Source organism: Homo sapiens, chromosome 18 (genome assembly GCF_000001405.40).
Source record: "Homo sapiens chromosome 18, GRCh38.p14 Primary Assembly".
Taxonomy (NCBI): Eukaryota; Metazoa; Chordata; class Mammalia; order Primates; family Hominidae; genus Homo; species Homo sapiens.
This window is the reverse complement of record NC_000018.10, coordinates 46,666,816-46,680,521: the sequence shown is the minus strand read 5'-3', so window position 1 is coordinate 46,680,521 and position 13,706 is coordinate 46,666,816. Positions and strand designations below refer to the sequence as shown.

General features: G+C 49.6%; 1 protein-coding gene across 3 annotated transcripts in view, besides 2 other annotated features; it reads left to right on the top strand.

Annotated features, from left to right (window-relative positions):
• The window catches only part of ST8SIA5 (ST8 alpha-N-acetyl-neuraminide alpha-2,8-sialyltransferase 5), an 89,233-nt gene extending 76,532 nt beyond the window's left edge, over window positions 1-12,701 (top strand). For all 3 annotated transcript variants that reach the window (NM_001307987.2, NM_013305.6, NM_001307986.2), the window contains one exon: window positions 12-12,701. In NM_001307987.2, the coding sequence (NP_001294916.1) occupies window positions 12-480 (469 nt within the window). In that variant the 3' untranslated portion in view covers window positions 481-12,701. The remainder of the gene's footprint in view (window positions 1-11) is intronic.
• Window positions 2,869-3,714: an enhancer, noted in NCBI's record as "NANOG-H3K27ac-H3K4me1 hESC enhancer chr18:44256771-44257616 (GRCh37/hg19 assembly coordinates)". NCBI's record gives its function as "activates a minimal SCP1, AML or CMV promoter by ChIP-STARR-seq in naive H9 embryonic stem cells {active_cell/tissue: H9 hESC(naive)}" and the evidence as "EXISTENCE:reporter gene assay evidence [ECO:0000049][PMID:30033119]".
• Window positions 3,715-4,562: an enhancer, noted in NCBI's record as "NANOG-H3K27ac-H3K4me1 hESC enhancer chr18:44255923-44256770 (GRCh37/hg19 assembly coordinates)". NCBI's record gives its function as "activates a minimal SCP1, AML or CMV promoter by ChIP-STARR-seq in naive H9 embryonic stem cells {active_cell/tissue: H9 hESC(naive)}" and the evidence as "EXISTENCE:reporter gene assay evidence [ECO:0000049][PMID:30033119]".
• Window positions 12,702-13,706: the final 1,005 nt, after the last annotated feature.

The window sequence follows — 13,706 nt, the reverse complement described above, 5'->3', positions numbered from 1 at the left end:
GCCCTGTGTAGGTTCCACAAGCTGGAGAAGTGGCGGCGGCCGTTCTATCGCGTGCTGCAGGTGTACGAGAACGCGTCGGTGCTGCTGCCTGCCTTCTACAACACGCGCAACACCGACGTGTCCATCCGCGTCAAGTACGTGCTGGACGACTTCGAATCGCCGCAAGCTGTCTACTACTTCCATCCGCAGTACCTGGTCAACGTGTCGCGCTACTGGCTCAGCCTGGGGGTGCGCGCCAAGCGCATCAGCACCGGCCTCATTCTGGTCACTGCGGCGCTGGAGCTCTGTGAGGAGGTGCACCTCTTTGGCTTCTGGGCCTTCCCCATGAACCCCTCGGGCCTCTACATCACTCACCACTACTATGACAACGTCAAGCCGCGTCCCGGCTTCCACGCCATGCCCTCTGAGATCTTCAACTTCCTGCACTTGCACAGCCGAGGCATCCTCCGCGTGCACACGGGCACCTGCAGCTGCTGCTGATGGCTGCCAGCCAGGCTGCCCGGCAAGCGGCGCCCCCTCTCCTGCTGTCCCTCCTGGTGGAACTGGGAGCCCCGAACCGGGCAGCGTGGGGTCCTGGCGTTCAGGCTGTCTCTCCCTCCATTGTTCAGCTCTGTACTTGGATCCTGGGGTAGGGAGGCAGGGTTAGGAACCGGGGCAGAGTCAGCTCTGTGCTGAGCCTCCTGGCCTGGCCCCCACCGGTGCATCCGCCCAGTGCGTCCACCTGCCCTGGCTAGCATGCTGCTGGGCCACACCCCAAGATCAGGGGCCCTGGGGACGGCAAGTGAATAAAGCACATTTCCACCCAATTTTGTCATCCGAGAGAGAGCACAAACTGCAGGCCCTTGTTGCAGCTGAAGGAAGACCCTACAGAGAATGGAATTGAGAGTGGAGACAGGACACTTCACAGGACACTTGAGCACAGTCAAGATTTTATTCACACTTTTGGTTCCTGTGTTTTATATCGAAGACTTAGCTATGAATTGCTATCTAAATCTCAGAGCTTAGAAGCCAACCCAGTGACTAGACCTTCCAGTGAAGAAAGTGATCTCAAGAGGTCCAGGGACTTAACAGCCAAGCCACACCACCCGACAGGTTCTTCTGTGACACCGAGAGATCTAACCCAAGGCCTGGGTTATGTCTTAGTCGAGACATCATCATCTGAGAAGCACCACATCCTTTCAGACACATCCTCGGACACACATGCGGTCTTGGTGCCCCCAGGTTCAATCCTGCGTTAGCTCTTTTGATGAGAAGGAAATAAACCAAACCAGCCACTTGCACTATGGCTTCCAAGCCAATGTTATTGACTCAATAAGTGCTTAGCAATTGGCTTCCTCTTTTGTCTTCCTATTTTCAGCTCCATTTAAACCAGGAGTTATTTATAAAGACCTCTTCCTCTCATGTCTCTGAATCCTGCAGAATCCTGCTGTATCGTGTTCCTCAGTCGGAACCATAGGCTCTGGGCTGGAAAGCACTGACATGTCAGGTGGTGAGCTTAGCAGAGAGAAACGAGTTGTGGCCTCCGACACCAGCATCACTGAGGCTTCCGCTGTGAAGGCGGGACTTCTCACAGCAGACCCCAGGGCCTGGGCTTGGGGCAGTCAGCTGGGCTTAGGCAGAGAGGGGTTCACATATCATTTCACATCTGAAATTAATTCCCTTTGCTTCTCCCTGTGGTGTTTCCACCATAAATGGGATGGTGTCTAAGAGACACTGTTGGTGAACTAACTGCCTTAGAACTTAGCTTTGTGGAATCATAGGATGTTAGTGCTGGGAGGAGGACTTCAGCCTACCTGCCTGGCAACCTGTCTCCCTCCCTCCTTCCTTTCTCCCTGCCTCCTCCCCTTTCTCCTTCCCTCCCTTCCTCTTTTCTTCCTCCCCTTAAACATTTCTGGAAAGCCTATTCTGCTTTGGTCTGTGGTTGGACTTAGGAAGACATAAGGATAAACAAAGGCATTATCTGTGTCTTCTGGGGGTGCAGGGCCCAGAGATTATAGACCCAGTCCCACGTGCTGGGTGCTCTGGGAGGGTTAGGAGCTGTAAGAGTCTATCAGGGAGTGGGATCTGCTATCCAATCACCTCATTTGACAGGCCCCCCGGCTGAGCCAGTCAGGGACGTGGAGAGTGCAGGCTTTATCCCAGGCCTCCAGGCTCCTGATCCAGGGCTCCGTTCTTGGCCAAACTTTTGTGTCTTGGCTTGGGCTTCCTGTGGGGGGGTTGTTGTGGAACCTGTGCCCTGTGCACAACACTGTTCTCAGTGCTGACTCTCACCTGCATTCTGAGCTCTGGTCCTGGTTGGGAAAACCTCAGGTGGCTCTGAGTCTCAGTCTGCTGGTCAGGAATGTAGGGGAGTAGCCAAGGGGATGAAATGATCCCAAACACCTGCTAAACCAGGAAGAACTGCAAAGGACAGTGGATGGTTATTACTTGCTTGAGCTCTGCCTATTTCTCCCAGGGAGGGAATTTCTGGGAAAGATTCCAGTTACCTGAGATTTCTAGCCACTGCATGGTTAATTGAACCCAGTTCTTGAAACCATGGAATATAAAAACTAGAAGGTTCTTAAAGACCATTTTGTTCCACTTTAGGAAACAGGCCCAGAGCAAAGATGTGACTGGGTCAAGTCATGCCTGGGGCTCTACTGAGTGCCTGCTGTGGACAGAGCCCTCTACTGGAAGCCCTCTGGGTACTAGTTATGTTCCAGATGGGCAGTGTTTGGGGGAGGCTCCCTGGTGACACAGACATCAGGATTCCCACAGCTGAGGGTGTTGCAGGTTGGAATCTGCCCCAGCCAGGGCCCTCGTAGGAGCTGAGGATTGGAGCATCGGGATCCAGCCCACAGAGGAGTTGGGACACCTGGCTGCTGGCCATATTCCTGCCTGTGGGTCTTAGGGCCAGTCCTTCCTCTCCCTCAATGTCTCAGTTTCCTCATCTCTACAACTAGAAGCTTTGTAAAAATCTTCAGCGTCTGTACAATGTCCTTATTTTGGGGGGACATTCATGATGAATGGATCTAAACCATAATTAATATTTCTCATTATACTAGCTAGCATTTATCAAGCTACGTTAAGCACTTTCCCTATATTATCTCCTGTAATCATCATGAGACCCCTTTGGGTAAGGAGGCTCCCATTGTACAGATGAGGAGACAGAGGCTTAAAGCAATTCCAGGACTTGCCCTTGGTCAGGCACCCAATGGAGGGAACGGCACCCAATGGAGGGAACTGCACCCAGATCTGTAGAGCCCCAAAGTCTGTGCTCCAAACCTCTGTCTTAGCTTCCCAGACAGTGACACCAGAACATGAGGGATCCTGACCAAGATGCCCCTGCAGGATAGTACGGGGCCCTCCTCCAGGGACAAATGCTCTAGGAGGCTGTCATCGTCCGGGAAGCAGCCTGTGCTTATAGGTGCCTCTCCCTAACCCTGCCGCCTACAGCAGTAGCGACTTACCCACAGTGGCACTGGAGGGGAACTGAGGCCATCGTCACATTTTTAAGGTGAGGAAAGATGCCCAGAGATAGCACATGTTAAGTGACAACACGAATGACTTGCCCAGGGCTACATGGCCAGCTTGTGGCTCAACTGGGACTCACCAGTCTCCTGACTTTCAGGATATAGTTTTTCTGCTGCAGCCAGTGTTTATAAGAAAAACATTTTTTCAAAGGCTCAGAGAGACCTGGTGTTGACTCTGGAAGCCTTCTGCCATGTTCCTCCACAGCCCTGTCACCACGCCACCATGCAGTGCAGACTACCCATTGAATTATTATTCAAGGGAAATCGATTCCCGTAAACAAAACAACCATCATGTCTTCCTTTGTGCTAAACCCACTGCTCCAGGCTTGAAAGGCAGCAAAAACAAGTAAATGACTCAGTGCTTAGCCAAGCACAAAGAAAGGTGGCTCAAGGTCAGAGGCAGCGTCTGAGACCATTTCAGCAATGCTGCTGCGGCAGCTCTGCCCACTAATCACCTGGTGCCCAGAGACAGCATGTGCTCATCGCCCTTGACTTTGCTGAGAGCAGGGAGGAAGCAGAGCAGTGCTTAGAAACAACTGAGGCAGAGTAGAGTGCTGGCCAATTTAGTGAGTGAATTGGTGAATAAATTATATTTATTGAGTGCTCATGTTGTGCCAGGCATGGTGCCAGGTGCCGGGGAGCTAGTGATGAACAAAACGTCGTCCCTGCCCTCCGGGAGTTTGTGGTCTGGTGTGTGTGTATACAGACGTTAAATGACGAATCCCACAAACGTACGTGGGAGCTGGTTGTGCTGAACACTATCAAATCCAGTCTCAGGGACAGTTATCTGGGAGAGGTGGAGGAGGGGATGACCAAAGTCAATTCCGAATTCTGAAGGTTGGCAGCATAAAAAGTGTAATGAGCAAAGCAGCAGATACTTCTCAGATATCATCCTTGACATCCGTGTAACATTTGACAAGGTTGGCCTCTCTGGTCTTTTTTGTTTGTTTGTTTGAGACAGAGTCTCCCTCTGTCACCCAGGCTAGAGGGTGGTGATATAAATATGGCTCACTGCAGCCTCGACACCTGGGTTCAAGTGATCCTCCCACCTCAGCTTCCCAAGTAGCTAGGACCACAGGCACGTGCCATTGCTCCCAGCTAATTTGAAAATTTTTTTTTTTTTGTAGAAACGGGGTTTTGCTATGTTGACGAGGCTAGTCTCGAACTCCTGAGCTCAAGCAATCCTCCTGCCTTGGCCTCCCAAAGTGCTGGGATTACAGGTGTGAGCCACTATGCACAGTCTCTCTGGTCTTTCTAAAGTCCTCTCCTCTTCTGTTTTCTAACTATTCTTCCCTGACTTTCCTCCTGTCTCTCTGAATGCTCCTTCTCAGGTTCCTTTGTGGATTCATCTTCCGTGAAGCTTCCTCAGGGTTCTCTTCTCTTCCTAGGAGCATTCCTGCAGAAATCTCATCTATTCAAAGCCTTAAGTATCTTCTGCCCTGGCATCTTAACCCCTCTACCTGCAGGCCAGTCCTCCCTAGGAGCATTGGAAGCATGCTCACTGTGGCCTCCTGCATGTCTGTGTCTGCACAGCATCTCAGACCTCAACATGTCCTCAACTGGTATAGTTAAAAGAACAATCTGAACTCAGAGTCTCCTCCTACTACTTCGTAGCTGTGTGAAATTGAGGGAGCTCCAGAAGCCCCTGGAGGCTCTGGACTCATCATCTGAAATGAGGACAGGATACCAACCACAACAGCTGTTGCAAAGCTAAGTGAAATAGTGTTGCACAATGCCTAGCACAGTGCCCAGCACAAACTAGACACTAGCAAGCACAGGTTGCCTTGGCCCAAAACTTGGATCACCTTTGCCTCTTCCTTCTCCTTCACTCTTTATGTCTATTTGTTCACTGTATCTTGTCAATTCCAACTCATAAACATCCCTTTAAGTCATTCCCTCCCTGCAACCCCTCTGCTACTGCCCTAACCCAGACCATCTGATGGATCTTTTTGCTTTCAGAGAATAACCTTCCAAAAATACCTTTTGTGGGGCCCATTGCCTACCTGTATCATAAACTTCAGGTTCTTTACCAAGTCATGCAGGGAATGTCCCAAGCTGGCTTACTCACCTTCCCAGAGATCCTCCTGCCACCTCCCTGCCCTATCCCATACTATTCCAGGCACCTTTGCACACTCTGTTCAAACACCTGGAATGGCCCTCACACTCCTAAGTTCCTCTCTCCTTCCTTTTATCTGGCCACTTTTGCAGAAGTCAGGTAATGGCCCCCTGCATCCTCCCCTCTAGAGACCTGGGCTGGGCACTCTCTCCTCTGTGCTTCTGCTGCAACCATCACCGACTCCATTAGGACATCCTCACAGCACACAGCATAAGGGCCCGTGTGTCCTTGATAGAAGGTTTGCCTTCTCCCCAAGGGAAGACACGATATCTAAGCTCATTTTGTATTGCCAGCACTGGCGGGGAAGCACATGCCATGGCCACTCAACACATGTTTACTACAGTAATGAGGTCTCTGGTTCCTGGGGGACTCCAGCAGTTCAGGATACCCCGCTAATAAACTGAGTAACACCTTGGGGAAATTGTCAGCTGAGGAGAGTCCTCTATTGATTTTTTTACCTAGCACATCCCAGGAAGGCAGAGACTCCTCCTGCCTGTCCAGGGGAGCTCGGGGCTCAGGAGGCTGAAATGTCTGTCTAGTGGGGGCTTATGGGCTTGGCTAGCCTCTTTTTGTTTTCCCTCATTATAATCCTGCTCATCTGCTTTTTGCTGGCTAGCCAATCCTTTTTCCTCTAGTTTAAATGAAAGAAGGGAGAGACATTTTCTGTGTTTCTTGTTGTCTACTTCTTCCCTTCCTCAAAGCCACACAAACATGTCAGGCTCTTACATCACTGTGGCTGAGGTGCAGCCTGGGAAGCAATGTAAGAGGGATTTATCAATGGTGTTTAAAAAACTAGAGGAACATGCTGAATGCTTTGGCTGGGAAACAGGTGAGCTGAGCTTTGCAGGATGTCTGCTCCAGATGCGAAGGGGAAGACCAGGAGCATGGGGTTGTTTCCTGGGGGAAAAAAGGTGCTGCTTCTCTGAGCTCAACACACGCCCTGACCTAGTCTCCTCCCTGTAACCAGAGCACCCTCTGGGAAGAGGCTAACTGTGGCTCAGGGGTCAGGTGAGGCCAGGCGAGGGGTGCACCAGTGGCCAGGGTGTGCCTTGTGCTATTGTTTAGAGGTCTAGTCAAACGAGGCCAGTCTGTGGAGGCTGATTCCATCCTACGGGGCATCCTAATAAACCAGTGTGATCTTCAAAGGGTAGACTGGATAGATCTACAGTGTGATCTTCAAAGGGTAGACTGGATAGACCTACAGTATAGATCTACAGTATAGATCTACAGTCTACCCTTTGAAGATCACATGGGTTTATTAGGATGCCCTGTAGGATGGCCTTCTGATGGCCTGCATCAGAATCACCTGGGTGCTTGTTAAAACTATGGACTGAGAACCTGGGGGAGAGGTGGCGCCTGGGAATCAGCATGTGTGAGGCCCTATCTGTTCCCTGAGCATACAACTGCTTGTGGTTCAGAAGTTGCCACCAGTTGAGTGGCCATGTATGGCTTGAAATTCAGACTGGAGCCTTGAGTAGGAAAAGAATGAAAAGAAGAATTTGGCACACAACCCAACTTCTGCCTTTTCTGTACATACAAATATAATATATAACCCACTATGTACCTAGCAACAAAAGTCAAGTGCTCGGGAATCTAACATTTACAAAATTGGTTTTGCTTTAACACAAACAAAGATTTCTTTTTCATTTGTAATTATGGTAAAATACACATAACATAGAATTTATCATCTTAACCATTTTTAAGTGTACAGTTCAGTAATGGTAAGTACATTCACACTGTTGTATATTCTGTCTCTGGAACTCTTCTCATCTTGCAAAATGAAAACTTTAAACCCATTAAATGACAAGTCTTCACTTCCCCCTTCCCCAGCCCCTGGCAATCGCAATTCTACTTTCTTTCTCTATGAATTTTACTGCTCTAGGTCCCTCATATAAGTAGAATCATATAATATTTGTCTTTCTGATGACTGGCTTATTTCACTTAGTATAGTATACCAGAGACTTTTTAGAATCACTTAGGTGCAAGCAGCTCTCAAATGACATTAACTGTTTTGGGTGTCCCTAAAGCAGAAATCTGATTTTTGTTTTTGTTTTTGCCTTGGGCAGTTGTCCTGGGCTGGTCGTTGGCCCCTGGCTTCCTGAGACCTTGGCCCCTTGCTGAGGGAGAGTGCAGACCTGGCCTTGCTCTGCCACCTGGGCTCCACTGTCCTGGCCAGCATGTCCTGAGAGACAATAGCCTTGCTGATCTTTTAGAAGTCTTTAGGTATTTTCCCCTGCACAGTCTCTTCTGAGAACCTTTCTTTTTTTTTTTTTTTATTTCAAAGGAAAAAAACCAAAAGCAAAAACATACACTTCCATGACTTAGCTGTTGGCCACAAAAGCCAGAAATCAGTGACTCTCTCTTCAGTTGAAGATGGTTCCCATGGCAACAAATCTCTCATTTCCTTCAACTAAATGATCTGCTCAGCTTTGGGGTAAAAGTTCTGTTTTCTCTAGAATTGCCATTTGCAACCTTGTGTGTACATAGGAATCACCTGGAAGTCTTTATAAAATAATCCCCAAGCCAGGTCCTTTACTTCCCGGAGGATCTGATTCAGCAGGCCTGGGGATAGGGCCTGGTATCCCTATTTTGAAAGATCTCATTAAGTGGTTCTGTCTCACATGGTTGGGAGTCATTACCCTAAGGCAGGCAGTCTATGCCTTGGTGCACGCTAGAGTCGTCTGAAGAGCTTTAAGAAATACTCGTGCGACCCCACCCCTTGACATTCTGAGTCAGGTGGTCTGAGATGTGACCTGAATATTAGGATTTCACAAATTCTCCAGATGTTTCTAATGTGCAGCCAGCCTTGAGAACCACTATTCTAGGTCAGCAGTTCTCAAACTGGAGGCTGCCTCAGAATCTCTTGGAGAGCTCCTTGATTATGGGCCCCGCCCCAGAGTTATTTGGTGAGGCCAGGGTGGAGCATCTCTAACAAGTTCCCAGGTGATGCCAATGCTGGTCCAGGGACTGCACTTGGAGGCTCATGGCTCTAGATGATCCTTTAATGAGATTGGCCCTGTTCTGCTGCCCTGTTCTTTTTCCTGGTTGGGGGTTGGTGGACCCTTCCTTCCCTCAGTCTGACTCAGGCGTGAGACTTCTTAAAGGTACCAGCTTTTCTTTTTCTGAACATTTTAGCATTCAGATAAATATTATGACATATTTTTAAAGCAAAGTAACATAGATTTCTTCTCCCGGGGCTAGGAGCCTCAGAGTCTGCCTGAATTAAGAATTTATCTGTGCCTAAGATTAGGATGCATTTAGTGATCTGAGCTAAGGGGTTGGTGGATCTGCAGCAATAGGTTCAGCCTGTGCCTGGGTGAGGGTCACCTTGTGACCGGCGCTGGGTAGGATCTGAGTACCACACACTTGGCCCTCTAGCATGGGGAGGACCTGTCTGGTCCACCTGGGGGAAAGCCTGGTTTTCTGATGCAGACCCAGCCCTCTGCCCACCTCCACATCTGTGCACAAACATGGAAGGTAGCAATGAGGAAACACAGCACCAGGACTGCCGTGAGCCCAGGAGCTAGGGTTAGAGCCTCACTTCTTTATGCATTTCCTTTTCTATCATACTTTGGAACAGGCTTGAGCTGAAACCAGAGAGTTAGTACCTGGTTTCTGCCTCAATCTAGTCTCCCTCCTCCAAAGATGCCCCCACAACGTGGGCAACTTCAACCCCCATGAGAGCTCAGAATTCCACATTCAGCGACAAAGTTGACAAGAGCCTCTGGAGATCTCAAAGACTTATTAAAAGTGGAAATGGCTACTGTTTTACTGAGGCAGGGTGAAAACACAACTCACTTCCTAGGATCGAACCCAGCAAATTCACTCAGCCCCCAGGTAACTGAGGACTCAGTTGAAGGAAAATAATTTTGAGCCCCTGAAAATAGATGCTATAAAGCTGTGTATCAAGGGCCAACCATTTTGCTAATATCACATATCTCACGGCATTTGCTTTGATTTTAAATTCAGTTCTAGTGAACTTGGTTCTGATTTCTAATGACAAAGCAAACTAAGAGAATGATGACATGTGCTAGATAAAGCAAGAAGTGGCAGCTAATAGCCTAAATTGTGATGGCATTAAGAAGACCAAAACTAGTTTACTTGTTCAACGACAGCTTGTCTTTGGAAAAAAAAAAACACTACATTAAGGATAAGAAAATATGTCCAGGCATGGTGGCTCACATCTGTAATCCCAGCATTTTGGGAGGCTGAGGCGGGAGATCGCTTGAGCTCAAGAGTTGACGACCAACCTGGGCAACATGGCAAAACCCTGTCTCAATAAAGAATACAAAAGCACACCTGTAGTCAGTCCCAGCTACTCAAGAGGTTGAGGTGGGAGACTGGCTTGAGCCCAGGAGGCAGAGGTTGCAGTGAGCTGAGATCATACCACTACACTCCAGCCTGGGTGACAGAGCCAGACCCTGTCTCAAAATAATAATTAAAAAAGACCAAAACTAAATACATATCTCAGGAACCATCAAGTAGCCTGAGGTCGTTGGTCGTTTAGTGGGGAAGAGAGGGAGAATATGTTATAATAACCCCGGGAGCAACACAGCATTTCAGCTCAGTTCACCCTGTGACATCCAGGACATGCAGAGGTAAAAAAGCGTTCCAACAATGTTCAATACACTGTCTAAGAAGGCAGGGCTGCGTTTTATCCACTTTAGAATTATTTCCATCCCCAAACAGTTAAAATACTTTCACAAAAGTCTTGGTGCTTAAAAGATAAATGCTCAGTGACCTGGAAGTTCACATAAATGAAACGGTTGATGATCTGATGATGAAGGATAGGCGAGATGGGTAAACTCACTCTTTTTTTTTTTTTGAGATGGAGTCTCACTCTGTCACCCAGGCTGGAGTGCAGTGGCATGATCTCGGCTCACGGCAACCTCCGCCTCCCAGGTTCAAGTGATTCTCCTGCCTCAGCCTCCCAAGTAGCTGGGATTACAGGCGCCCACCACTTTGCCCAGCTAATTTTTGGTATTTTTAGTAGAGACGGGGCCACCATTTTGGCCAGGCTGGTTGTGAACTCCTGACCTCGTGATTCGCCCACCTCCTCCTCCCAAAGTGCTGGGATTATAGGTGTGGGCCACCGTGCCCGGCCAAACTCACTCTTTTGAACTTAACATTTTCCCCCTGACATTGGAGACTCTCCTGCTACCTCTCTCCTAAGAAAAAAGGGCAGGTGGTGGGGGGACAAGCCCCTTCCACCTTCCCATCTCCAAGGGACTTTGCAGTGTGGGTGATGGTGTGGCTGATCATCCTCTTTCTGCACCTCTGATTCTGCTTGTGTTGTCCTTATTGTGTGGGGCAGGAGGGTCAGGACTTCAGCTAGGGGTGTGCTGGCTCTGCAGTGACTCAGGCCTGGGTGTTTTTTGGTGAATTTAAAAAGATGACCATTTCTGGGGGAAAGTGACACTTTTACTTTCTCCACACCTTCACCATCCATTTTCTTACTGGACTTCGCTGCGTTCCTGCAAGGAGGACAGGGCAGAGAGTAGCAACCCTCCTTGCCGAGGCCCAGAAAGATAGCGTGGTGTGCCCAGGGCACCCATGGTGGGTGATGGACATCTCCTTTTGGGTGCCAAGGCTTCCTCAAGGTGGGAGGAACTGGAGGGCAGGGGACGGTGGCCAGTGTCCCGCTCTAGCCCTCTAGGGCACCTTTTTCTCCCCTCTGAAGTTGTTAGGCTGATCTGGAGTCTGCTCCAGGCCTGGGCTTCACCCTGGCCTCATGCCCTGCCCAGCACCTGTGTGGAGGGACCTGTTCGTATTCATTCCTCTTTGGGGGCCAAGCTCAGGGCACCCGAACCAGCAGCCTTGGGTGGCTGAACCTAGTGGGACAGAAGGGAGGCAGTTGTATCTGGCAGAGTCACCCAAGGCCACAGGCCTGAGCAAAGCAGGAGAGCGGGGCAAGCTGGGGTCAGGGACCATGGTGCTGGCCCCCTGCTGCTCTGGCCATGTGGGAGGCAGCTGGAGGGGTCCCAAGTGGCAGCTCCTGCCAGACTACCCCGGACTCCCGAGCCCATCGTCCTGTACTCTTCTCCAGTGGGACGTCTGGCCCTCACTGTGGCTAGCTTCTGGGCAAGTCCCTCTGCTCAAGATCACTTTATGGGGCAGCTGGTGCCCCCTGGGGCTCCCACACTCTGCACATACAATTTAGGGACCTGGCAGGGTCTTGGTGGCCTGCAGCTTCCCTTTCTGGAACCGACTCGCCTCCCATCAGAGAGCCATAACTCTTCTTCAATACAGTATTGTTTGAACTTTGAAATATATGCATTTGTCTATGTATTTTCTTAAAAATTAACACTGTATCTCAATAAGCATACAATGGATTGTTCAATGGTACAGTTTGGAACCAATCCCCCGCCACTTCCCTCCCCAAGTAAAGCCAGGACAGATGCTGGAGTCAGCATGGGAGCTGTGGAAACCTTTTGCCCTGGAGCCAGGTGCCTGTGGCTGTGCCTGGGAGTGGCTTCAGCCCAGGCGTGGTGTCAGTTTCCTGGCACCCCTGCCCAGGAGCCTGCATGAAGGCAGCCGGGTCTCTCTCTGAGTGGCTGGTGCACCGGCTCATTTCTGAGTGGCCTCCTGCGTATGAAGAAAAAGCGGCCACGTGGCATGCCTCCCTTCCCTCCCTTGCTTTCCTCTCAAAGAGCCAAGTCACGCTGCACTGCGCTCCGTGGAGCCTTTCCCGATGGAGAAGAGAAGGGAGGCCTGAGATGTCCTTTGCTGGGATGTGGAGAAACACCATCTATATGAAAAGCCCCTTGCTTGCTCTGCTGATTTTCTCCCTCCCCTGGCCCTGGAGAGAAAGGCTGTGCCATTCAAAGACAGTTTGGGGACATGGGGGCTGCAGGCCTGATCTTATTTTTATGCAAATTTTGTTCTGGGAGCAGTGGTTTATACAAACTCCTGTAGCATAATTCCAGCTTGTGTGTGGCTGTCCTTGAGTAGTGATTCTGAAGTGATGACTGTGATGCTATGCCTAAAAACATCATCAGGGTACTTTGTATCTGTCACTGTGTTTGAACGGCCCTCAATTTCTATCTAATAAAACCAGTCAAATGGTTCACCTAGCAAAGACTCTGTGGCTGTGGCTGTGTGTGTGTGTTAGTGTGTGTGTGTGTGCGCATATGTGTTTTTGTGTGTGTTTATGGGGATTGTGCCACACTGGGCTGACAGCAGCACAGCCCAATGTGCAGAGCTGCCAGGTATTGTGAAGAGCCCATGGCCACCCTGGGCACACCTTTGGGCAGTGTTGAGGGCACATGAGAATCAGGAGACCTGTGGGTGGCTGGCAGGAGTAGCTATCTGACCCAGGGAGTAGGTGGGCTCACAGCAGGGGCTTAGAGCCCAGATCAAGATCAAGTTGAGTGGCATGCTGAATTGACAGTGTATGAAGGTGTACAATGACATGGAAAGAGGATTCTGGAGCTTCCGCAGGAGGACAGAGGGCCCCTGAGGGCCGGAGCTACCTGCCTTAAGGGCTGGAGCTGCCTGGGACAGGTGGGTTTGAGACACACTCATAATGGAAGCAGATCCCATGGCTATGCGACCTGCCTTTCTCTAAGCAAGGCAGCTCTATCAATGTCCAAAGTCACACTGAGGGCATCTGAGTACTAATTACCCATTTGTAAAGAAAAAAAAAAAACAAACTTCATTCAATGCCAATCTCCTTGAGTGTATTTAAGACAGAATTATATCAAAAGTTGTTTGCATTTATGTGCAAAATACCGGGCTTGAGCCTGTTTGCCCCATGAAATGTAGTTAACATTGCTTGGAGTCCCCAGATCCACATCTTGGAAAAGCCCAAAGCCTTCCCCATGATTTCTGCAAATCCCTAGGGACTGGTGTTTCCATGACTCCACTGCCTTCAGACTCCTGCTTTTGGGCATGTTTCTGTTTTATATTTGTTGACCATCCAGATATTAGATGCAGCACTTTCCTTGATATCTGTGATGGTGTAGTGTGTCCCAGAGTGTAGTGGGAAGCAGTGGGAAAGGGATTGAGACCACTTCAGACATCCTGAAAAAGAGACAGCCCAGCCACCAGCCAAGTTTCTGGTGTGGACACTCCTCATG